At 36.8% G+C, this 25319-nt stretch overlaps 1 protein-coding gene across 2 annotated transcripts in view; it reads right to left on the bottom strand.

The window, feature by feature from the left end:
• Positions 1 to 25319, bottom strand: part of DIAPH2 (diaphanous related formin 2) — a 920156-nt gene that overhangs the window by 496762 nt on the left and 398075 nt on the right. For both annotated transcript variants that reach the window (NM_006729.5, NM_007309.4), the window contains exon 20: positions 8441 to 8542. In NM_006729.5, coding sequence (NP_006720.1) covers positions 8441 to 8542 — 102 coding nt within the window. The remainder of the gene's footprint in view (positions 1 to 8440; positions 8543 to 25319) is intronic.

The following is a 25319-nucleotide window of genomic DNA, read 5'->3' as shown; positions in this document are numbered from 1 at the left end:
TATCAAATCACATCAAGTGGCTCTCATTTCTTTAGCTGATCTTCACTATATTAAAAAAAAATAAAAGAAGTGCATTGACAGCTTTAGTGAGAGCAACTACAAGTGGGTTATTTCCCCAAAGAGTTAGACACAGTTTTGTTTATATAATTTGAATTTTACACACTTCAGTACCTACGCAGCTCATGAATATTGATCTACTACCCAACTAACCTACGAATCCACCGAGAAAGGAAAAGAGCACAAATGTAAAAATCATATGTGACGGAAAAGGAGATGGCCACATGGCACTCCTATGGTCAGGTGTGGCCTTTAGGGTTATTTCTATCATCTTTCCTTTTCACTTCTAAGACATATTCCATTAAGGCCTAACATATGGGAGAAAAACTGATCCCCCCGTCTCTTCAAAATATAATGTTAAGAATTCATTAGAATTAACAGAAAAATTTGTAACAAATATATATTTGCTACAAGGTATTTTTTCCAAATAGTTACTCTTTTGATCCATTGCCCATTGAATATACAGAATCCTTTTGTATCTGTGACTATAACAAAAAGAATGATCATGAAACCACATTAAAGGAGAATGGACTTAAGTTTAATAGAAGGCAGAACTGCCTACAGAAATGAGATTGAGTCAATACTGACCAGATTTCTGCCTGGAGTTGTGGAAATAAGGCAGGGGCATTTATGACACCTTATAAAGTAAAGACTGTTATCTTCTTTGAGACAACAACCTCCTCCAGGGCAGAACCTCTCCTACTTATACTCATTCTAATACTTTCTGTAGCAAATCCAGTACCAGGCCTGGAAAAAATAATCAATACAAGTGTACCAACTATATGGAGTCAATGCCAAATGTTCGTACATTAGATGTCATGAGAGAAAAGGGCCATACTTAATCTGTGAATTGAAGCCTTGAAAAAATTGAGTGTTGAAAACTGATTCTACATCAGAAAAATAATGATGTAGGCTGGGTGCAGTGGCTCACGCCTGTAATCCCAGCACTTTGGGAGGCCGAGACAGAGCAAGACTCCATCTCAGAAAAAAAAGAAAAAGAAAAAGAAAAAAGAAAAATAATGATGTACTGGTAGAGAATATTTCCCCAAAGATAAAAATATGTGGAAACTACCCATCAACAACCATTCACTTGTCTTTAGTCTAGAACAGAATACAATAACATTGTGTGTCCCAAAAGGCACTATAAACTCAGAAGAATCACACTAAAAAGTTAGGCAAGAATTTTAAAACACCTTTCTGAAAACATGTTTGAGGCCAAGAACAGCCATCAACATTTCTTTTTTTTTGAGATGGAGTCTTGCTCTGTCATCCAGGTTGGAGTGCAGTGGCACAATCTTGGCTCACTGCACCCTCCGCCTCTCACGTTCAAACGATTCTCCTGCCTCAGCCTCCTGAGTAACTGGAATTACAGGCACCCGCCACCATGCCTGGCTAATTTTTGTATTTTTAGTAGAGACGGGGCTTCACCATGTTGGTAAGGCTGGTCTCGAACTCCTGATCTCGTGATCCACCCGCCTCAGCCTCTCAAAGTGTTGGGATTACAGGCATGAGCCACCATGCCTGGACACAGCCATAAAAATTTCTATGGTGGTGTTAGGAATTAGTGATATGTGGAGGGGAAAAATGAAAGGGTTAACTTTTGATTTTTAAAAAATTTAATGAAAACCAATCAATAGCAAAATTAATTGACACCTACTGACCTAATTTGAATATTCAATTTTCAGGTGGTTTTATTTTACCTTGTTTTATTGCAAAAGCTGATGGAAATAAGAAATTCTGTCACAAAAAAATGATTATAAGAAGTTAGTAAGAGGGATAAGAATATAAATACATGTATTTGAGAATGAGTCATGGTGAGTTTTCTTTTACCTGATCTCAAAATTATTAAACCAGCTTTTTCCTCAGATAAAATGAATATATATCTAGAAGTAAGAACTAGCACTAATATTTACAAAAGTAATGAAAATAGAAACAATCAGGGCATTACAAATCAAAACACTTAATACTCCAAATGCAGGCATATAAAATAAAGAAAAATGCAATTTTCACACTGAATATGCAAAAGTGAAAAATGATTTGATATTAATGGAACAGAGGACTTACAATTTTCTATCCAAACTAATTGCCTTTGATGATATGTGGAAGGAAAAAAAAAGCTTTTAAGAATTTTCTTTTCACCTGGTTAAGCTATCTTTATAGCTCATAAGCTCTTATGAGGCTTTAAAAAAATTAAAAAGCACAGTAAATTTATAGTTGTACTTCCAACTATATGCATAAATCCTCTCCTCCCAACTTCATATATTTGTGTAAAAAAAATTTAAATGTGCTGTCCGCAATATCACATCATCTGTGCTTCCTATTATGAAGATTTCTACGCCCAAGCCAATTTCAACATTTTTTGTTAGATTATAGCTTTAGGATGTTTTTAATTGAAAAATATGGATAATTTTGAAGTCAGAAAAACAAAGTACGATTACTAAGAGAATTAATTATTGCCTTCTTTTCCTCAGAAGATGTGTTAGTTTAATAGATACACACAGTATGGGTCTCCATCCCCTGTGCAAGACAAGTGGGAACTTCCATTGCTCTGAGGTTTGAGAACAGCTGAGCTGCAAAGACACTCAGAAGAGTCTAAAAGCTCCTGCTGAGGGTTCTAACTGCCAGAGCTTTCAAAAATCTGTGCTTTTTTCCCTAGTAAAGGTACAGCACATAATTACAATGATGTACCAAATTCAATTCTGTGGGAGGTAGGTTGGAGGACAAGTCAGTGGGAAGCTATGCAGCCAATCTACCCCCTAAACAAGATTATTGATCATACAATATGTGGGAGCGAGCATGTCCCCCTTACCAGGATCTGTCTCTAGACAGAGGAAAAGTCTCTGGGTTTTTCTATTTCTTTTTTTTTCTCTTTTTTCCAACTGGTTGCACATGATTATAAGCAAACCTAATGATGTGGCTGCTAAAAAAACCCAAAAGGTTAGAGAAAGCTTAGTGTCCCAGTCACTGCCTTAGATAAGTTTCTTTCTTTCACAATTTCCCCCAGTTTTGTCAATTTTATTGTGTTTTTTTGTTGTTGGTTTTGTTCCTGAGACAGGTTCTGGTTCTGTTGCCCAGGCTGGAGTGCAGTGGTGCAATCTCGGCTCACTGTAACCTCTGCCTCCCGAGCTCAAGCTATTCTCCCACCTCAGCCTCCCAAGTAGCTGGACAAGCACAGCACCATGCTTGGCTAATTTTTGTATTTTTTGTAGAGACGGGGTTTTGCCATGTTGGCCAGGCAGGTCTCGAATTCCTGGGCTCAAGCGATCTGCCTGCATTGGCCTCCCAAAGTGCTGGGATTCAGACGTGAGCCACCATGACCAGCCAATTTGTTAATTATTCATTATCATTATTTTAATGAATACTGCAAGAGTAATCTAATTTCTGGCATATTTACACCCCTAACTGATGAGATTTTGTTTTTATCATCTAAGAAGTTATATAATCAAGGAAACTCTATAGGGCACTACACAGGGTTAGAGTATTAAAATCAGGAAATAAGGCCAGGTATGGTGGCACACACCTATAATCCCAGTATTTTGGGAGGCTGAAGCAGGAGGATTGCTAGAGGCCAGGAGTTCAACACCAACCTGGGCAAAACAGTGGGACTCCATGTGTACAGAAAAATTTTTAAAAAAATTAGCCGGGCATGGTGGAACTTGCTACTCAGGAGGTTGAGGTGGGAGGATCACTAGAGCCTAGGAGTTCGAGGCTGCAGTGAGGTATGATCTCGCCACTGCACTCCACCCTGGGGGACACAGAGAGAACTTTCTTTAAGAGCTTTAAGAGGCAGCTCTTAAAAAAAAAAAATCAGGAAATACTATTTATTATTTAAGAAGGAGAGGAAAGGTTTCAAAAAGGAGCTTAAATTCTTTTATGTTATCAAATGCCATATAGATACAGAATAAGATGGGACTGAAAGAGTCCACTTGATTTTCCATTCATGCAAATGCATTCAAGAAATATTTGTTAAGCACACGTGAATAAAATCAACATAGTTCATCCATTTATAGAACTTGCAATATAGTTGGGATTATAGACAGTCAAGAAGTAACCTCATATATAAACATTTAATTAAAATCCAGGATGATTTCTAGAAAGGAAAAGAAAAAAGGTAATCTGGGAGAGTTTAGTAGGAAGATCTATTTCTGACTGAAAGGCAAATGAAGGTACCACTGGGAAAGCAAAAATTAAGCTATGACTTGAAGTATAAACAAGAGAGGGAGGCAGCAAGCAGGAGTAAAGGAGCAGCATGTGCAATGGTCCTAAGCAGGAAAGAACATGGTAAGTTCAAAAATAAAATGTGGCTGAGGCATAATGAGCAAGAGGCCAAATAGCAGGTGATGAAAGTAGGAGAGGTGGGCAGGTGCCAGACCAGATAGTATCTTCTAGGTCATGGTAAGAAGTTAATGCTGTAGCTTTAGTGCTATAGAACAGCACTGGTATTTTAAGCAGATAAAAATTATGATGCAATACAGATACACTCTAGAAACATCCTACTAAGGGTTGTGCCGAGACGGATTTGGAGAAGGGCAAAAGTGGTAGCGGGAAAAACAAGATAAATGTATATTGTAATGGTTAATTGAAACGATGATTCTGGCTTGGGCTAAGGTGGTGGTGATGGAGACAGAGAAGTGAGTATATTTGATGTGTATTTTGGATGTGAACAGGATTTAAGGGCCTTTCTTATTTCAATTTCAATGCATTATTTAAGGCAGAATTCTGATCACCATTGGTTGAACAGTGAATGAGAGTTAAGGAAGCAGAGAGAAAAAGGAGACTGATCTTTGAAAAAAACTGATGCTAGGAAATGGAGAGAAGGCAGTAGCAAGCAGAAACCTCAGTCAGGAAGGATTTTTATTCATCCATCCACCCATCTATCCACTCCTTTCCAGGCAGCAAATGACTGAAGATTTTCTTTTTTTCTGAAGAGCAGGGCAGAGTGGAAACTGACAAATTGAGGAAGTAATAAAATAACTAACAGAAGGAAAGCAGGCAAGAGATACTACCACCTAAAGTAGGCAGTGCATAACAATGCCCAAAACTGAAGTGAGAAGATTAGCATGTGGTAGAGCATCACATACACACCCACATACCCACAACCCAGGAGCACAGTGGTTAAAGCACTGGCTACAAATTCAGACTGCTAACATTTGAATTCTGTGACTACTAGTTACTATGTAACCTTGGACAAGTAAACTAGTCTTCCTTGGGCCCAGTTTCCTCATCCTTCTTTTTTTTTGAGGCGGAGTCTTGCTCTGTGGCCCAGGCTGGAGTGCAGTGGCCTGATGTCAGCTCACTGCAGCCTCCACCTCCCAGGTTCAAGCGATTCTCCTGCCTCAGCCTCCTGTGTAGCTGGGACTACAGGCGTGCGCCACCATGCCCAGCTAATTTTTGTATTTTTAGTAGAGATGGAGTTTCACCATGTTGGCCAGGCTGGTCTGGAACTCCTGACCTCAGGTGATCCTCCCGCCTCGGCTTCCCAAAGTGCTGGGATTACAGGCATGAGCCAACGCGCCCGGCATCCTCATCCTTAATATGGAGCCATTAATAGTGCCAAACTCGTAGGGTTTGTCATGAGGAATACATAAGTTGGTGGAAGTAAACATGCTTCTCATAGAATCTGACAAATTAAGTCCTCAATATTTATTTTGTTTCTATCCATACTAATAGCAACAACAATAATGTTAATGATAATGGAGCTCCTCTTTTTCTGAGGCTTGACAGAGAATAAGTAAAAGGTATATAGCTAGAGAAAACTTTGTAGGTAGAAGAAATATTGGAGGTTTTGAAGTCAAACTGCTTTCTTTTTTCTCTGGCAAGTAACAGGTTAGGATGTTCGTGGTAAGTTAAAAGAATGGGGAGGAGACAGAAGACTTGAGGAGAGAAGGAAAGGTATGGTATGGCCACTATGGAAAAATGAAAGGACGCAGAATAGGGAGCGAGTGAAATAGCTGTTAAAACGGCAGTGAGAGTCTGATTGAAATAAAGGCTAAAATGTCAAAAAGATACCAATTGACTCACTTCACCAAAGGGAGCAGAAAGGAAGAAAGCAAGACAGTCAGAGATACAGTGAGAATGCGAAGGAGCTTCATTCTGTAAATTCAGGGAGACACCGGAGGTTTTCCATATAGAAATCATGTGATAAATACACTAATAATGTTAACAAGAGAAGTGAGCAGAGGCAATGAGCCTTTCCAGTTTGGAGCCTCTCTCATTACTGCAGATGATTCTATTAAACAATTTCCAAAACTGTCCTCACATTAGGCTGTTGATATATGTTTAAGGGTTAAAAAGTGTTTGGATGTATACACACAGAAGTGAATTGAATTTCAGCATACACCTAGAGAAATATGTTTTAGCAAAATTTCTATTGTTACAGATTTAAATCATACTACTTTCTAATTTCAGGCTCGGACTTAGGCTTAATAATTGTCCTGTAATTCAATTCCATAAACATTTATTTACTGTCTATTTAATACATGATATTGTTCTAAACACTGCAAAGTACACGTTTAACAAACTAAAGTATATCATTGTTTAAAAAATATTTCCTTGATGTGAATGCAGCTAAACTTTATTGGGCAAATCCTGATTGATACTATCTTAGGTAATTTACATAGTGTAAACTAGTTTGTAATGTCCTTGACTTTCCGCCCCCCACCCCCAGACATGTAGCTAAGAATGGTGAAAGTAAATACGGGGACTAGGTTACTTCATGTATGCACAGCCTCAGAATTATTTATGGTTATGTGCATAAACAAGAAATCTCTTCCATTTTCTATTTTGCTTTTAGTTCAGAAGGTATATTGCTTTTTACGTCCCCAAACTTCATTTCCTCAGTGTGGTACCAAGGATATGCCTCTTGAAAGGACTTGCTTGGCAAACTAATACATCTTCCAAGATAAACTGCATTCAGAAAAAAAAAAATGGCTTCAGAGAAATTGTGTAGTATACCTACTGTAAAACTCATAACCATCATGACACAGCTGAATTCTCAGAGGGTATATACCCTTGCTTCAATTATAATATGAATCCAAGCAGCTTAGGCTTCAAGTGTGGACTTTGATCTAAATAACTGTATTACTCAATGTTGTGCTAAATTGCTTTTAGTTAACAAATGATATCTATCGAATTTAGTTGATTAATTCACCTTGTTCAAAAATAAGAGAAATACCTTTCTCAGATACCATTATATGCTCTATCTGATCCCAAACATACATTCCTGATTTTCTTTGCAAGAATTTGACAGAATCCTTCTATATAAGTGCAGTCAATGCCATGTCTCAAAATTAATAAACTCTAAATATGGGTGAGCATTTATTGCACATGTTCAAAAGGAACATGCTCAGTCCCATCTAGCACAGTTTGACTTTAAACAGGATTTTTAAACTGCAAGGTATCAAATTGGATCAGTTCTAACATATTATACTATTTAAAAGCTTATAGAATATTTTGGATAACGCTGAAAATGTTTGACTATTAGGTTCAATGGTAATTTTAAAATTTTAGTATGCAAATGGAAAATGTTCAGGGAGCCAGGGTAAAGTTGGTGACCATAATGGAACTATTTATTCATACAGCAAACAAACTTGCACTGACCACCTAAGTAAAAAATAGCTTTTTCTCCAAGAAATTAAATAAATCATAATGCCCTCTTTCCTGCCATTTTTTTGTTTTTGTTTTTTGTCAACTATTTGAATAGTCAGTTTGGGGAATACTTAAAATATAACTATAATCTTGAATTCAAAATTTATACTTATTCATCCTTTGTACCCCTTAATATGAAGGGTGGAATAAGAAAAAATAATTCATTCCAATAATAATTTAACTACATGATGATTTAAAGACATGATGTATAAGATTTTCTTCCCAGCTAAAACAGCACATTTTAAGCTTTAAATCAATTAATGACACTCTATATGAAATCTGAAAATCCTTTTGCTTTTTCTGACACGACATATACCCTAGAAAAAGAGTCTCTAGTACTTTGCTAATTATCTAGTAATTATCCTTTTATTTTAACCTACTTTTTGGAGGCCAAATTCTAACATTAAGATCTAAATGGAAAGAAAAATAGCCCATATAATAATAATGTATACTGTTTGCATATATTAATAGAATTAAAAATTGGCACTGTTATTCAAAAGATCCCCTGAGATATTTTGAAGTATTTTATGAATGCGAATATTTTATTATTTTTCAATGCCATGACAAATAATAATAGGTAAAAAAGTATTTTTTTCTGACAGCCAATATTATATTAAATTATGTAGCAATACAGTAATGAAAAAATAATTGACAACTGAAATGTTTGTCTTTTCACTGTTTCTGGCAAGTGTTAACCTCCCAGCTGAGTTTGTGGTCCCTCATGTTGGATACATACCACAACTCCAAATTGTTCAGGCTCACAGAGGTCATCATATTCATTCTTAAGCTCTGCTAATTCGTTGAGTATCTTCTGCTCAGGAAGATGTTTCACAAGGTTCTAAAAAGAAATAAAAGTATAAAAGTTTAGTGTTTTAGTATTAGAATTTTTAAACATGCATTAACAATTATGAAAGTGATTAACTAGGACAGTACATTTCTGACTGTGGTTCTGTTATGGTACCAGAGTATCCGCCCTTCCCCGCCCCTCCAAAATTTGACCTAAAAATGAACTACAATAAATTGTGAATAAAACGTATAAACTTGTTTGGTTTTTGTACAATATAGTATATACATATTGAATAAAAGATCACATAAGAATAAATCGTATTCCAAAACCGAGTAAAATTCTGGGACTTAAACATATAGAATAATTTTCTTTTTTTTTTGGAGACGAGTCTCGCTCTGTCGCCCTGGCTGGAGTGCAGTGGCGCGATCTCGGCTCACTGCAAGCTCCGCCTCCCAGGTTCATGCCATTCTCCTGCCTCAGCCTCACGAGTAGCTGGGATAACAGGCGCCCGCCACCATGCCGGGCTAATTTTTTGTATTTTTAGTAGAGACGGGGTTTCACCGTGTTTAGAATAATTTTTAAGCTTTATTTCCAGTCACAATAATTAGTCAATCTAAACTAAAAACAGAAAAATACTATGTAGAATTTGCTTAGGTACAATAATACTAAAAAAGAAAGTATCAACTCTACCATTCATAATTTTTCAAAACCTGGAATAATCTTCAATCTTATAAATTACACCTGGCTTGTACAACATCTCCCATTATCTACAATGTCTATATTTAAGTACACAATACAATCCTATTTTTAATGGAGAATCAAGCAAAAGTGATGAAGTCTGATGCATGCTCAAATTTGATGATTCTTATGAATTGAATGTTTGTGTCCCTCCAAAATCCTTATGCTGAAATCTAATCCTCAACGTGATTATCCTTAAAGGCAGCGCCTTTGAGGGGCAATTAGGTCATAAGAGTGGAGCCCTCACGAATATGATTAGTTCCCTCTTAAGAAGAGGCCAGTGGCCGGGTGCAGTGGTTCATGCCTGTAATCCCAGCACTTTGGGAGGCCGAGGCAGGTGGATCACCTGAGGTCAGGAGTTCGAGACCAGCCTGACCAACATGGAGAAACCCCATCTCTACTAAAAATACAAAAATTAGCCGGGCGTGGTGGCACATGCCTGTAATCCCAGCTACTAGTCATAAAGGAATGAAGTTTTGACATGTCATAACATAGATAACAATATGTGTAAATATTTCACTTAGTAAAACAAAATAGATACAAAAGAACAAATATTGTATGATTCCACTGATATGAAGTATCAACAACAGGCAAATTTTTAGAGACAAAAAGTAGAATTGAGGTTACCGGAAGCTGGGGGTAGAAGGGTATGGGGAGTTATTGCTTAATAGGTTTAGAGTTTCTGTTTGGGATGATGACAAAGTTCTGGAAATAGTGGTAATGGTTGTACAACAACATAAATGTAATGAATGCTTCTTTATTATACACGTAAAAAGGGTAAAATGGTTAGTTTTATGTTACCTATTTTTCCACAATGAAAAGATAACTAGGGTAGGGTACACAGAACATAAGTCTCATGGAAAACAACTGTACTATACCCCTACTATAAGTACCCTTTTGTTCTCCCCATTTGTCTCTTCCCTCCTCCCACTCAATTTTGCCTTTCCATTAAACTCTGGGCCTGCAATGGCACCTATCATCTAATTAATGAGACCCAAGTTTTAAAATATCGCACCCTTTGACTAAAATATAAATATGGATATAACCACATATATGAATACTGAAATGAAATCAAGAGAATCCACTATTTTGCTCCATTAGTATTATTTTCTTTTATAGAATAAGAAGGTAAGTAAATACCAAGGTATTATTTCCATTTTTTCAAATATTTTTGATGCATGGAAATTACTCAATTGTTTTTAAAAACTGTTTCTATTGATTTTTTTTTGTGTGAAGTATGTATGTTATTAAGAAAAACAAAGACTCAGTTTGGTAACTTGAATAATTTTCACCACAGTGAAACTAAATTAGAAAGATTAAGATAATCAAAATTATTTAAAATCAATTCTGCATATTTAAAAATCTCCACCTCAATTTTAAGCTGTAACTGGGAAAATAAGTATTGTGGAATGAATCAAGCCTAAAATATAATTTTAGCTTGGAATGTGAAACTTTTGTTATTTTATTTTTCTCCTAGCTATAGGTAACCTGTTATTTTCAGAATGAAGGCGCCACAGTGGGAGGTGACATATCTTTTCTCTATTCAGCTGTATGAAATATTTAACACATTTAGTGGCCTTGGATGTATTCTGACTCTGAATATCATCTTATGAGTTTTAAGCTTATGTAACTGCCACTGTTTAGTAAGTTGTACTTGCGAATTAGAATAAAACTCACTCTCAAATGTGCGGCAGATGCAGACTACTACAATAGTACATATTGCTCTTATGAGTCACCTACCTGTAGGATCTCATGTTGCAAGTGGTCCTTGTAGTCAATGCCTAAACATATCTGATTTTTTATATATGTACATACTAAACGTTGTAGACAAAGATGTAGTATAAGGTTGGATAGGAGTATTTTTTCATTCCCATAAATTCCTAAATAAAAGAGGAAGGAAGATAATACAGAGGAGAGAGAGATGTAATGGTACTCATTTACCTCCACTTCACCTACTCATCAAAAGCATACCAACAGAGAATATGGAAAAAAGGCAGGGGTTCAAGGCACAGCTTGACACTGATATACAGAGTCCTCGGAATCAGCCTGAAGTCTGTTTGTGTAGTGGACTAAGGGGGCTCCCAGGAAAGACATTTTGTAAAGGGAGAGAAGTCAAGCAGCAAGCAGACAAGATTAGTCCAGTGAGAAAACCTGCAATTTGGAAAGAGTTAGGGTGATTCTGAGTGCACTGTAGTTGTTTTTTGGATGTGATTCCAGGCCCAGACTATTCATCCCCAACGTGGTCAGATGTCTGAGTACTGTGGAGAGGAGAACTGTGTGAAGAGCACTGCTTTGGTACTCCTCTAATCAAGTACATTTAAAAAGGAAAGCAGGGAAAAAATACATGTTCCCATACTTTGCCAGAGAACACCCCACACCCTTGGCACCTAGAAGGCTTCAATACACCACCAGCTGTGCCCCGTGGGAAACTCCTCCCCTCTTCCCACACACAGTTGTCCCCAGGGGAGAGGATCAAAACAAGAACCCACAGTTGCCACATGGAAGCTGGCAAAATTAATTCAGAGAATGTGTAAGCTATTTCCTGAGACCTCTAGAAACATCTAATGTTGAGACTTTTGATAAGAATCAGGGTCCTGCAACAGCAGCTATGAGCAAGAGCAAGAAAAATACAGGTGAAGTGACACAGATCAGGCTAGGCAATAAAATTGTTAGATTCATATTGCCCCAAAACTCTGTACTTAAAAAAAATTAAAATAGCTTTTGAATTTAATGCTTCCTTGATACTACAATTGCTTCTGTTCTCTAAATAAACTGCAAAGGTGAGTTAATAGTCGAAGACTACCCTCTATGCTCGCTATAAGTGAAAAACTGTTCATAGTAGTAAAGGCTAGAAGTGATAAATTTTTAAGTACAACAGATTCTTACAAACTGTGAGTTGATAGGCAAATATCCTGGAAAGTTTCAAGGCACAAGCCCTTCAATTTCTCCGCCGTCCCCCAACCCCACCTGCTGCTGCTTACTACTGTGCATATTTTTTTTTCAAATATTTCAGGATTTGTGTTTAAAAGATCAATTCTGGATAAGTATGAAGGTTTTATCCTAGAAAATGTCAATGAACTGAAGTTCACAAAGAAAACAGCAAAAGAGAAAGCAGCAACTATGTCATTGATTGAGCAGAGTTTTCTTCATCTTTTACGCATCACAAATTTACATTCTGATGATTGTCAGTGTTAAGTGAAGGAATTTCTACGAATAGACCACACGCTTTTAACTACTTTTTACATTTCTGCAATTATTCTGTAATACTTCCAAAACTTTATTTCCTTTAAATGTTAATTGAACACTTAAAGGTTAGTTAAGTAAAGGTATTGAACCATAATGCCCTTTCCTTCTTGCCAAAACATAACCTTTCTTTTTTGTCTTCTATCTCATTAAGTCACTTTACTAGTAGAAGAACTGCGTTAGGTTCATTTTGATTAAGACTATCATTTTCCACATAAACGGATTGGGGCTAATATTTCTTTATAAAAAATGTATTTATATATATATTATATATATATGTAATGTCTTACTTTAACTTATGTTGACAATTGTGTATTTTTAAAAATCTAGATAAGAAACGTTCTCCTTGGCCGGGCGCGGTGGCTCACGCCTGTAATCCCAGCACTTTGGGAGGCCGAGGCAGGTGGATCACGAGGTCAGGAGATCGAGACCATCCTGGCTAACACGGTGAAACCCCGTCTCTACTAAAAATACAAAAAATTAGCCAGGCACGGTGGCGGGCACCTGTAGTCCCAGCTAATCGGGAGGCTGAGGCAGGAGAATGGCGTGAACCCGGGAGGCAGAGCTTGCAGTGAGCCAAGATAGCGCCACTGCACTCCAGCCTGGGTGAAAGAGCGAGACTCCATCTCAAAAAAAAAAAAAAAAAAAAAAAAAAAAAAAAAAAAGAAAAAGAAACATTTCCCTAAAAGTCCCTTGGCTAAATCTCTATCATCATAACACATCTTTTCCCCATTTTGCTTGGTCAGAAAACACAATTCCTTACCCATGTTTTTCAGAACTTTTTTATGGTATATGGCTTAAATCACTGTGTATGTGTTTACTGTTCTTAAATCATGTGTTCCTTTACTTTTCTTCAAATGAAATGACAGTTTCATGCCAGTACTTGGTTCTATACTTATTTTCTGTTTTATTCATCCATTCTGCCAATATATACTGGATGTCTACCACGTGACTACCACCACATTAACCTCTGGAGATTCTGCCCTCATAAAGATGACAGGGCCAAAAGGGCTGTGTATGTTCTTGTTTACACAATGGAACACAATCAACATATGACTGAGTAATTTGCCTTCCATTTGATCCAAAATACATTTTCTGTCAGGTGGTGATGGTACAATCTTCTCCTTTTGATATAAAATTCCTAACATTTCCAAAACTCTTGCATTTGACTCCAAGAATCGACATACATACTGAAGTATGTTAAAATGCTGATTACCACTAAAGTATTTGGGGGTGGAGCATTTCAATCCCTCAACATGCAGTCACTATTTTCAAAAACACATTAGTTAATAAAATAACACACAAGCATTGAAAATCGATGAGAAAATTCCTGACCTTGAAGTAACAAGTGTGTCTTAGAAATAATCGGGGATTTAAAGGTTTCCTATCTAATCTTTAATCTAGCCCAGGCAGAGAAACATATCCTAAAGAAATGATTTGAAACTCTGACATTTAACATTCAGATTATACTCAGTTCCCTAGAAGGCGCATTGACTTTCCCATGATCAATATCACCTCACTGCTGATAATGCCAAATGAACGTCTCCAGCCCTGACTACTCTTAGGCATCCTCAAGCTCCATGTTTCTAACTGACATTCCCACCCAGATGTCCCATCATTAACTCAAACTGAACAAATCTAAAGGAGAACTCATCCTCACTCTGACCCATCCCTACACCTTATCAGCGTCTCCTAATGGCTTCATTCTGCCAACAGAACTGGCATCCTTTTCATCTTCTAAGCTTTCAAACTGGCAATTACCTTTCAGTCACACTTCTGACAATTTTTCCTAAAAAAAATCTCTTTCAGGTTCAACCCTTCCTTTCCATTCCACAGCCAAAAATCTGGGCTAGGGAAATTACACGGTAGCTAAACATTTCCTATTTTAAATTCAATTAAACTATTCAAGGGGTTCTAGCCCTGTACTAAGTAGATCAGTGAAGATCACAGATATATTTACTACTATAATAGAAAAAATAGTGATTATATGTAAAAAATTCTACTCCCACTAATGTCATGATCCTATTTGCAAAATACATGTATTGCTTTCTACATAATTTATGATTTACAGTATAAAGGATAATTATGAAAAGTACTCCTTTGATGCTATTTACCTTTTATTTTGTTTATGTCCTATTTTGTACTCTAAAATAAAAATTATAAACCATATTAAACATAAAAAGTGATATTAAGCATTAAAAAGTAGGACATATAGAATAAATTAATGACTATGAGTATTGAATAGCAGCATCCAAAGTATGTATGCCCATGTCTAAATGTAATGATAGCAACAGGAGGCAGCCAAATGCTTAGGCAGACGCGGGTGGGTACCTGGTGAAACCCCAATTCCCCAACTCCAGGCCGAAGACAGTTTATAGCTTGAAAGCCAAGCTGCAAATTAAATCCTTGGGCAGGATTGAGAACTTGTCTTTCTGTTTGGCGTGCTTTCCTCTGATTGATATCCATCCTTCACCTATTTTACATATACCTACCCTTTCCTAACTGGTTTACTGGTTTTCTTTTTCCCCCCCTCCCTCCCTCCCTCTCTCTCTCTCTTTCGTTCTTTCTTTTTCTTTTTTTCACAGTCTCACTCTGTTGCCCAGGCTGGAGTGCAGTAGCACAATCACTACCTACAGCAGTCTCAATCTCCTGGGCTCAAACAATCCTCCCAACTCAGCCTCCCGAGCAGTTGGGACTACAGGCTTATGCCACCAGGCCTGGCTGATTTTTAAAAAACTCTTTATAGTGACAGGGTGTCACTATGTTGCCCAGGCTGGTCTCGAACTCCTGGGCTCAAGCAATTCTCCTGCCTCCACCTCCCAAGGCACTGGGATTATAGGTGTAAGCCACTGTGCCTGGCCTAGAATAGATTTTTAACAGACAAAATAGGTTGACAGATATATGATACCCTGTTAACGCTATATTCTGCTTTCATTAGATATCATCCTATCACGGCCATGACAAACTGCCACAAACCAATGCTAGGATTCATTATTATAAAATAGTACATGCAGATGCTTCCAAAGCTGAATTCTATCCTCATATTCAAGACCCCTATCATTACAGCACCAAATAAATCACTTCAATTAGTTCAAAATATTTATAATAGAAACTGCCATACATGATGATCGGCTATCATTATTTAGTTCTCTGTTTTCATTTAAGTACTAGTTAAAGGTGCCTGTATCGAAAACAAAGTATAAGTTATCCATTAGACTAAAGAAATACAAAGTCAAAATGGAGCATCCATAATACCCTGGACATTTTGACACATCTGGCAAGCTAACACTTTTTTCTTTAAGCAGAAACAACGCTTGTCATCTGCAGAACTTTAAATACACTAACCTGAACATGGTGGCAGATTATCAATATCTAATGTTTCTCTCAACTTCCCAATAACAGAGTCATAGAGATACTTTAGAATAGACTTCTGCTTCCAGCAATATAGCTGATTAGTTACCCAGAGGAACTGTCAATTTACAGAACACCTAAAATGCTGAATAGACTTCTTTAAAAATATCTTCAGATGAAAAGCTAACTTGGCAAGACATTTTTAAAAAGTTCTCATTACTTGCCCCCCAAACTCCCCAATGGGAAAAAAAATAAAAAGAAAGCACTAATCCAGACACATAACCAGACACTGAAGTCCAAGACTATCGTAGGAACATCTACCAAACTCTACTGGTCTAGAGCTTTTACAGAACCCCAAAAGGTAATACCTCCAGAAAAGGGGTTATTTTGGAGAAAAAACAAAGCCCGCCTAGAGAAGAAAACAGTAAAGAATTGTGTCTGGTTTTGCCTTGACTCTGGGATTGGAGATAAGGGGCTTCTCTGCTGGAAACTTCTAAACACAAGGCAACACCCCCGCCCTCCACCATGCAAGTTTTGGGTTAGAATTTAAACTACCTAGTTGTAAAAATATATGCTGATAATTTATATTTAAAGTGATTATTCTTTGGTAGTACTCCTAGGTAGAATAGAAAGATTACCTCCCAGGGAATGTCAATTTAGACTACAGCTCAGTTAACAACTGAACCCAGAATATGGTGAAATAATCTCTTCATAGTGCTGAGAAAAAATAATTGACAAGCTAGAATTATATACCCAGTGAAAATATATTTTCAGAACAAGGGTGAAAAAAAATAATTAGAGAAACAAAAGCAGTGTTTGCTATGACCAGAATCTCACTAAAAGTCTTTCAAAAAGACTTGTTTCGGTTCCAGCTATTAGGGAGTCTGAGATAGGGGACTGCTTGAGTCCAGGAGATTGAGACAAGCCTGGGCAACACAGCAAGACCCCCATCGCTAAAATAGCTTTTAAAAATTTGCTGGTCATGGTAGTAAGCTTGTATTCCCAGCTGCTCGGGAAGCCAAGGTGAGAAGATCTCAGAAGACTGATGCTGCAGCGACGTAGGATTGGACCACTGCACTCCAGGCTAGGCAACTGAGTGAGACCCTGTCTCTAAAAATAATTATAATAAATTAAAATAAATAAAATAAACAGACTTGTTTTGGGGAGAAGTAAAATGATCCTAGAAGGAAGTTTTGTCATATAAGAAGAAAGGTATACAAAAAAGTTAAATATGTGAGTAAATCTAAGTGGGGAACAGGAGGTGGAAAGCAGGGAGTTGTGGGGTTGCTGAGATAGGAGAATCGCTTGAGCCTGGGAGGTCAAGGCTGCAGTGAGCCAAGATTGTGCCACTGCACTCCAGCCTGGGCAACAGAGCGAATATCCTGTCTCAAAACAAAAACAAAGGAAAAAACTAAATAACATATATTTTGGGGCACATCCATATATGGCAAAAGAAAGGCATGGGGTTGATGAGCCTCAGATTCAGAATAGTGGTTTCTTCTGGGGAGAAGGGTAAACAATGGCTTCACAGTAATGGTAACGTGCACACCCATGGTTACATTTTATTAATACTATGCTTTGAACTGTACACACACAGCCTAAATATTAGAGACGTATCTCAAATGACCCTTTTCTTAATCTTAATTCAACCTTCTGTTCTCAGATAGTCTTTGATTACTCTGGGAGAGTTTACATTGTTGCCTTAAAATTTTACAATTTGGGACTTAGCCTTCCTTTAATCTGATCCAATTCAATATGGATTTCTTTTGATGAGCCATTCAGGGACATTTTTCAGCTGGTCACCATCATCTAGATACTGACCCTTCACTTTTGTAATGTATAGACACACTCCTGGGTTTGCTTTGGCTTTTTGGGGACCCTTTCCAAACATCCCATACATTTTCACAAAGAGAATCATCAACTGAGTGTAGAAAGAATGAGATCAGGGGGACAGGGACTGGAGAGGCGGTGAGCCCTGGGGCACCTGGGCATTAGGCCCGGGCGTGGCGGGCAGCGGTGGCCTGGGGGTTTCCTAGGGGAGCACCCCTTTCTAGCCCACTGCCCCAGAGCTCTTTCTCAAAAAAAAAAAAAAAAAAAAAAAAAAAAAAAAAAAAGGGATCAGAGACAATCAGAGGATCACGAACAATTCTTACTCTTAGTCATTCATTTGTACCATGAACTGAGGGGAGCTAGTCAAGTAGAAATCAAAGAAATCCTACAACAATTACAAATCTAGTTTTGTTTGAAATATTTTCCCCTTGAAGCAGTATTCAAATTATCTATACATATAACCTATATAAGTGTATTTGGCCTGGGACACTGTTTCTAACAGATATAAAGCAAATAACAGTCTTCACTCCAATGCTTAAGAATTGATTATTTTCGGGCTGGGCCCGGTGGCTCACGCCTGTAATCCCAGCACTTTGGGAGGCTGAAGCGGGCAGATCACAAGGTCAGGAGTTCGAGACCATCTTGCCGAACACGGTGAAACTCCATCTCTACTAAAAATACAAAAAAATTAGCCGGGCATGGTGGCGGGCACCTGTAGTCCCAGCTACTCGGGAGGCTGAGGCAGGAGAATGGCGTGAACCCAGGAGGCAGAGCTTGCACTGAGCCGAGATGGCACCACTGCACTCCAGCCTGGGCAACAGAGCAAGACTCTGTCTCCAAAAAAAAAATAAAATAAAATAATTGATTATTTTCCCAACTAGCAATATGTGTTCGTGTTTATTTATAAACATTCATCAGGCAAACTCTACCACCACTCTACCATCAAATGAAATGCAATGAGATAGATCATATGTAAAGATGATCTAGAACATATGCCACATTCCATAAAAATAAAATGATTAAGTAGCATATATGACAATATATGGTGACCCAATACATTTGTTTTCCAATGACTGGCTTTATGTTGGTTGAGCAGAGTTTATCCTGGCTTTATTCAGATGTAGTCCCACTCTAAGCAGTCACTTCTATATGACTGCTTACTGTGCCACCAACTAGTTACTCATCCTCTGAAAGTCCACCCTCTTGATGACATTTAACCTGTTGGCTCTTCTGAGGAGACTTGGCCCTAAGATCAGATAAGCCCATGCTTTCAGGATCTAAGGAGGATGCCTAACATTCCCAAGCTCTCCTTTAGGGAAGCTCAACTCTTCTCTAGACCTGTGACACCTCCGGTCCAAAGGGGAAGCACAACTTCACATGAGAAGCATACTGTTTTAGCATCTGTTGTCTTTGTAATACTTCAAATCTTCCTCATGGATTTAGGGCAGCCAAAAACAAAGCTTCCCTATTTACGATGCTACTCATCACTGACGGAAAATCTCTTCATCTGGAAGTAGTCACGCTTTCATTTTTAAAATTATATACAACATGGAACCTACATAAACAGAACCAAGTGGCTGTTCTGTTTGGATCTAGTGTACCGAACACACTGACTGCATGCACTTAGGCTAATGAAGACCATCAGTATTCTCTTGGGTGAACCAAAGCCCCCAAAATAGGCAGATGAAACCCGGGAAACTGTGTAGATGAGGATAGGTTTCATCTCTCAATGCACAAGAAATTTCAAAGTCATCTATGACAGAAATATTTAGAACGAAGCGTTAATCAAAACCTTATGTAAATATTTATTTGATATTGTATGGAATTTTTATGTTTACTTTCATGAAGACCTTTTATTCAATAAAGGACATTGGGTGGTTCTTATAATTCTCAGAAATCTTTGAGAGATAAAGCAGCCCTAAATATTCAAGAAAGGGAAATCTGTAAATCTGAAAGTCAGTTTAATATAGAGTGCTCACCCATTCAATATAGCCTTGTAGAGGGGACTAGCCTAACAGGCTCAAAATATCTAATTGAAAATATCACCAAATCACATGATATAACATTATCATATAAAGAAAACTCTGTATCATGCATCTGATTCGAAAACAAGTAAAAAGAATGACCAATACAAAGAATGCTTATGATACAGCTCAGAATGTCTGCATCACATGCAAACATCTTTTTCAAAAATCACTTCAAAAGATTAAGAATAACACAGTAGAAATGAGCAGATGAAGAATGGAGAGAATGTTCAGTCTAGTTTACAGAATAGGGAGTATTTCCAAGAGAAAGTAGGTTTTAAGTCATATTTTAAAAGATAAAAAAGACACCTAAAGGATGGAAGGACAGGTGCAAAGGCATGGAGAAGAGCAAATGTAAGTAACGTAATGCACAGATTATTCAAAATCAAGACTCTGAGAAACTCTCCAATTTCTAGAGATCCATTACAGCATTTAAAAACAGAAGAAAACAGGTGGCAATCATTGCAATCACTTCTTAAGAATGAAAATGAATTGATGGAGGAAAAAGAATGCCTAGTCGAATCAAGTAATGTGATGTGCTAGACTGGAGGAAGTCTAGAGACAAAGACCAACTAGAAAACAATAGTAGTCTAGTCCTATGGGCATGGGAGGTGAGAAAATCTTCAATCAGTAAGAATGCATGATGAGCTGGGATCAAAGAAGAGAGAGGGGATGAAAAAAATTCCAGGAGATATAGGCCTTCATTTGGGGGAAGGATGAAGACTATGAGTTCTTTTTGGGATACTCTTTCAAGTAATAGTTGAATGTTTAAGTGTTAATTCTCTTTAGATAAATGGCCAGAAAGAGTGACAGGTTACAGCTAAATAAATGTCTAAGATACTAATCTCTATGTGTGTTCAATTTGTGTAGTATTTTATAGTTTGCAAGGGTTTTTAACATATGCTCATATTTAATTTGTATAATAACCAATTTTTATAAGTATACATTTCCCCCCTTCTAAAGGCAAAAACTATATGGCTAAAAGAAGAAAAGTGACTTGCCCAAGGTCATATACAGAATACAGGACTGAAACCCAAAAGAATTTTTTTTCCACTACACTGAGAGTGGTATTTTAAGTATAAACCGCCGAAGAGTAGAAACTCCAAAGAGACAATGTAGCAATTAGTCATAGCACTCAAGGAAGAAAAGCAGACACCTTCTTTGCTTTTCCCAAGAAGCAACTAATTTTTCAACACTATTCAGCTATATACACTGAAGAAAAATTATGAAATGAAGGCCAAAATATGTACTCTTATTTTTCTCACAAAGCTGAAAGACTTCATTAAATGGTTCTGTCACTCTGAATCCTTCATATGGGATAAAATAAATGATGGTCTTATTAGTAATTGAGCTACCCTTTCATTTTACTAAAATGCTGCTTATTAATGCAGAAACGGAATCCAATGCCCCTTATACTGCATTAAGTAAAATTAAGTATTTTTTGGCACCTAATTATATATTTCACAACACAAACAATAATGAATGTCAATGAAGACATTTATAATGTCATCTAATACTGGAAGAAGATGTTTCAAGGGATAATTTAATTTCTACTCTGACTTCCAATGACAGAGATTGCACTAAGTGTTTTTAATTAGTAAACTTTCTGTTACTACTTTTTATTGCTGTCCAGCAGTAAACTCCCCAACCCGCTCGCCCACCTGCATACCACAGCAAGGAAAAACAGGTCAAACAATGGGCTTTAAAAAAATCAATAAATTGAGCATCTTATGAACCAAGTTGTGATCCCAGATTGACTATGTGATGTAAACCTCTCTGAGCCTTGGTTTCTCCTCCCGCGAAATAAGGGAAATGAATAATTTATAAAGCTTACTTTAGTTTTAATTTTGGTGGCCTCTGATTCTGACAGAGATACAAAGGCAAATAATTTTTAATTGACAAAAAGGATATATTTATGGTGTACAAAATGATGTTTTGATATATGTATACACTGTGGAATGACTAAATCAAGCTAATTAACATATCCATTATTTCACGAACTTAATTTTTTGTGATGAGAACATTTAAAATAGACCTTAGCAATTTTCAAAGCTGCAATACACTGTTATTAGCTATCATCACCATGTTCTAAAATAAATTTCCTGAACTATTCCTCCTATCTGAAATTTCATATTCTTTGATCAATATCTCCCAATCCCCACTCCCACCTCTAGTCCCTGGTAACCACCACTCTACTCTGTGCTTCTATGAGTTTGACTTTTTTAGGTTCTATATACTGTATAAATGAGATCACACAGTATATGTCTTTCCATGTCTGCCTTATGTCACTTAGCACAATGTCCTGCAGGTTCAAAGATTTCCTTCTTTTTAAAGGGTGAATAGTGTTCCAACATGTACATACTATGAATTTGAGCACAATGTGTATAAGGCTGAAGGGAATGGTCACACCTTAGTAAGTACTTCATAGATGAAAGGTTCCACAATTTGAAGAGAAGAAAAAAAAAGATATTTTAAGCATTCCATCAGGTAGAATTCTCCCTATCATATTGGCTTTCACCCATATGCTTTCTAGACATTCCTAGGAGGGAATCCTGCTTACGGTCTTTCCTGTAAAGTGATACCTCTATAGGTTACTCCCATCTAACAACTCTCCCCTTTGCCTGCTGTCATATACTAATCCCATTCTCCTACTTCTGATCAACTGAAAACACTCTTGAAGCCACATTTTAGCACTGCCATCTAGCTTTGTTAGTCCCCAAGTATTTAGTATATTTTGCAATTCTTTATTAGAACAAATACTCAAAGTTGATATTAAATCCTAACTAGTTATTCTGAATGGGTCACACCATTCCTGATTAATTATTTAATATGACAAATTCTTGGCCGGCCGCGGTGGCTCAGGCCTGTAATCCTAGCACTTTGGGAGGCCGAGGCAGGCGGATCACCTGAGGTCAGGAGTTTGAGACCAGCCTGGCTAACATGGCGAAACCCCATCTCTACTAAAAATACAAAAATTAGCCGGGCGGTGGTCTGTAGTCCCAGCTACTCAGGAGGCTGAGGAAGGAGAATCACTTGAGCCCAGAAGGCAGAGGTTGCAGTGAGCTAAGACTGTGCTGCTGCACTCCAGCCTGGGCAACTAAACGAGGCTCCATCTCAAAAAAACAAACAAACAAACAAACAAAAATTATTCTACTGCCAAACCTTTGGAAAAGGTCATGTTTCTACTTTTAGGTACTTTGATTTCTATATTCTTCTACTGCCAAAACTTCAGAAAAGGTCATGTTGTTACTTTTTAGGTACTTCGTTTTCTACAAAATGTTTTCTAGCAATACTCAAACTAAACAAACACAATTTCATTCATATTAGATATTGATAATTTTATATAGCTATGATTTCAAATATTCTCATATATTCTAAATGATTCTAAATATAGAATATATGATTCTAATATCACTCAGTATACTAAAATAAAACAAAATCTAAACAAAAAATATGCAACTACAAAAACACCAGGTTCCTAAAACATTTTCAGATCACTTGCCTTAAGGACCTCAAATTATGATAGCCTCATCTCAGTTTTTAATAATAATACAAGCATTGAAAGCTAAATTTTACAACACCAAAGACATGAATAATTTACAGTAATATAAATCCAACAACACATTAAAGCTGTTGGAAACAATTGATGGATAAACTTTTGTTTCATTTATTTAAGTGGAATATTTAAAAATCTATAGAATATGTATAAATATTAAAAGGTTTTGATGGCATTCTGGAGTCCTCATTCTCACCTACTGCAGTCCCCCCAAAGCAGCTCTTGCTTTCACATTCCTTTGATTTCTTTATCTAGAGGCCCCTTACTAGTTTATTGTCATTCAATTATATTTGTCTACTCTGAAGACTACGTTTCTCTTGTCAGCATGCAAATGAACTAAAATACAACATAAAGCATGAAAAATAAAGATCAAAGGGGTTAAAGTGAGGTTTCTGAATAGTCCCCTCAAAAATAGTACACTACTCCTGGATACTTCCTTTGTCCCTATTTGATATCTCTATTTCTGGGATTCAGACAGTACAGAGAAAGGAAGAAGCCCCAGGAGAATTATCACCCTGCTGATAATTCTTTCCATTAACATAGAAAACTGAGGGCTGACTATTCAATTGTAAGTTTTGAAGGAAAATATTTCAAAATACCAATTGTAACTGTACTGTTCCTACTCACTGGAAAAGACATTCTTTGTGCGCCTATCATGTAACCAGCAATGTGCTAGGGGACTTTTTCATGTGTTATTTAATTTGATCCGTTCAATAAACTTACTAGCTATTTAAAAGATAAAAGAAAATGGACTCAGAGAGGTTAGGTAACTTTCTCCCATTCATATGGCTGGTGAGTGGCAGAGCTGGGATTCAGACCCAGCTCTCTTCACTTCAGAGAAGAAGTCGTTACCATGATATTATTTGATTTATCTAAATGACATATTTAAAAAAAACAAAACAAAAACAAATAAGCTTTTAAAAATGGTGTAAAGTGAATTGCTCAGCACTATTAAACTATAAATGTAAATACTATGTGGTAAAGGAAAAAAAAAAGCCTATTCACACTGATATGATTGCCTGTATTCACAGGTGGAAAACAATTATGACCTGTACTTTAAGCAATGCTTGACTAGTGGTATTTGCAACGTAACAGGAATGCATTCTGTCAGAATCAGAGCTTAACATGAGTACTTTCCATTCCTGGGATATAGAATTTGTAAATGTATGGTATCATTTTGTTTGGACCTATACTAATTAAATGTCCAAAACCTGTCACGAAGTTTATAATAAACACGGAAAATAAAAGCAAATGATTGGGAACGTATTAAATTCTGAAACTTTACTACATATACTTCAGAAATAAAAGTAATTCTTAAGACAATGGTTCTCAGCCAGGGAAAATTTTGCACCCCAGAGATTTTTCAAAGTCTAGAGGCAATTTGGGTTGTCACAACTGGTGGTGGAGCTGCTACTGGTATCCAGTGGGTAGAGCCACAGATACTGCTAAACATCCTATAATGTACAGGACAGTAGTCAAAAATAAAAGAAGAGAGAGAGAGAAAAATGGGCCCAAAACATCAGTAGTGCCAAAGTAGAGGAAACCTGATTTAAGCATACGCTTTCAGCACTTGCTAAATACTTTTAAATTTATTCATTGTGTAATATTTAAGACACGAAGATGGATACAAAGACAATGAATCTACGTGTCTACCACTGAGTTTAAGAAATTAAAAGACTTAAATTTCCCTTGTGTATTCCTTCCTGCCTTCCTAAAATATTTTAAAGAGATTAGTTAAAATACCATTACGTTATACCCGTTATTATACTATGTTAAAGTGTGCCATAGCATGTTAAATTTTATATTATGTTAGATTATACTATAACTATCACAAGTCTTTAAAAGATTTAATAACTAGGTACATTTCTATTTTACATAGGAGGATATCTAGAATTATAATAGAACCTTGCAAAAAGAATGTAAAGATTTATTCCTTATGTATAGAAGGAAAGGTTTTGATTACCTCTTTAGTACATAAGAGAAAGTGGTTTTATAGATATGATCAATTACAAAAGTGTATAATTTGTTAAATATATGACTAGCCAATAAGCTTTGGATTTAAAACAAATTTGTATGCTACAAAAAA

The sequence above is a fragment of the Homo sapiens genome, chromosome X (assembly GCF_000001405.40).
Source record: "Homo sapiens chromosome X, GRCh38.p14 Primary Assembly".
In the NCBI taxonomy this organism is placed as follows: Eukaryota; Metazoa; Chordata; class Mammalia; order Primates; family Hominidae; genus Homo; species Homo sapiens.
Note: the sequence above shows the minus strand (reverse complement) of the source record. Positions and strands in the feature narration are given on the sequence as shown.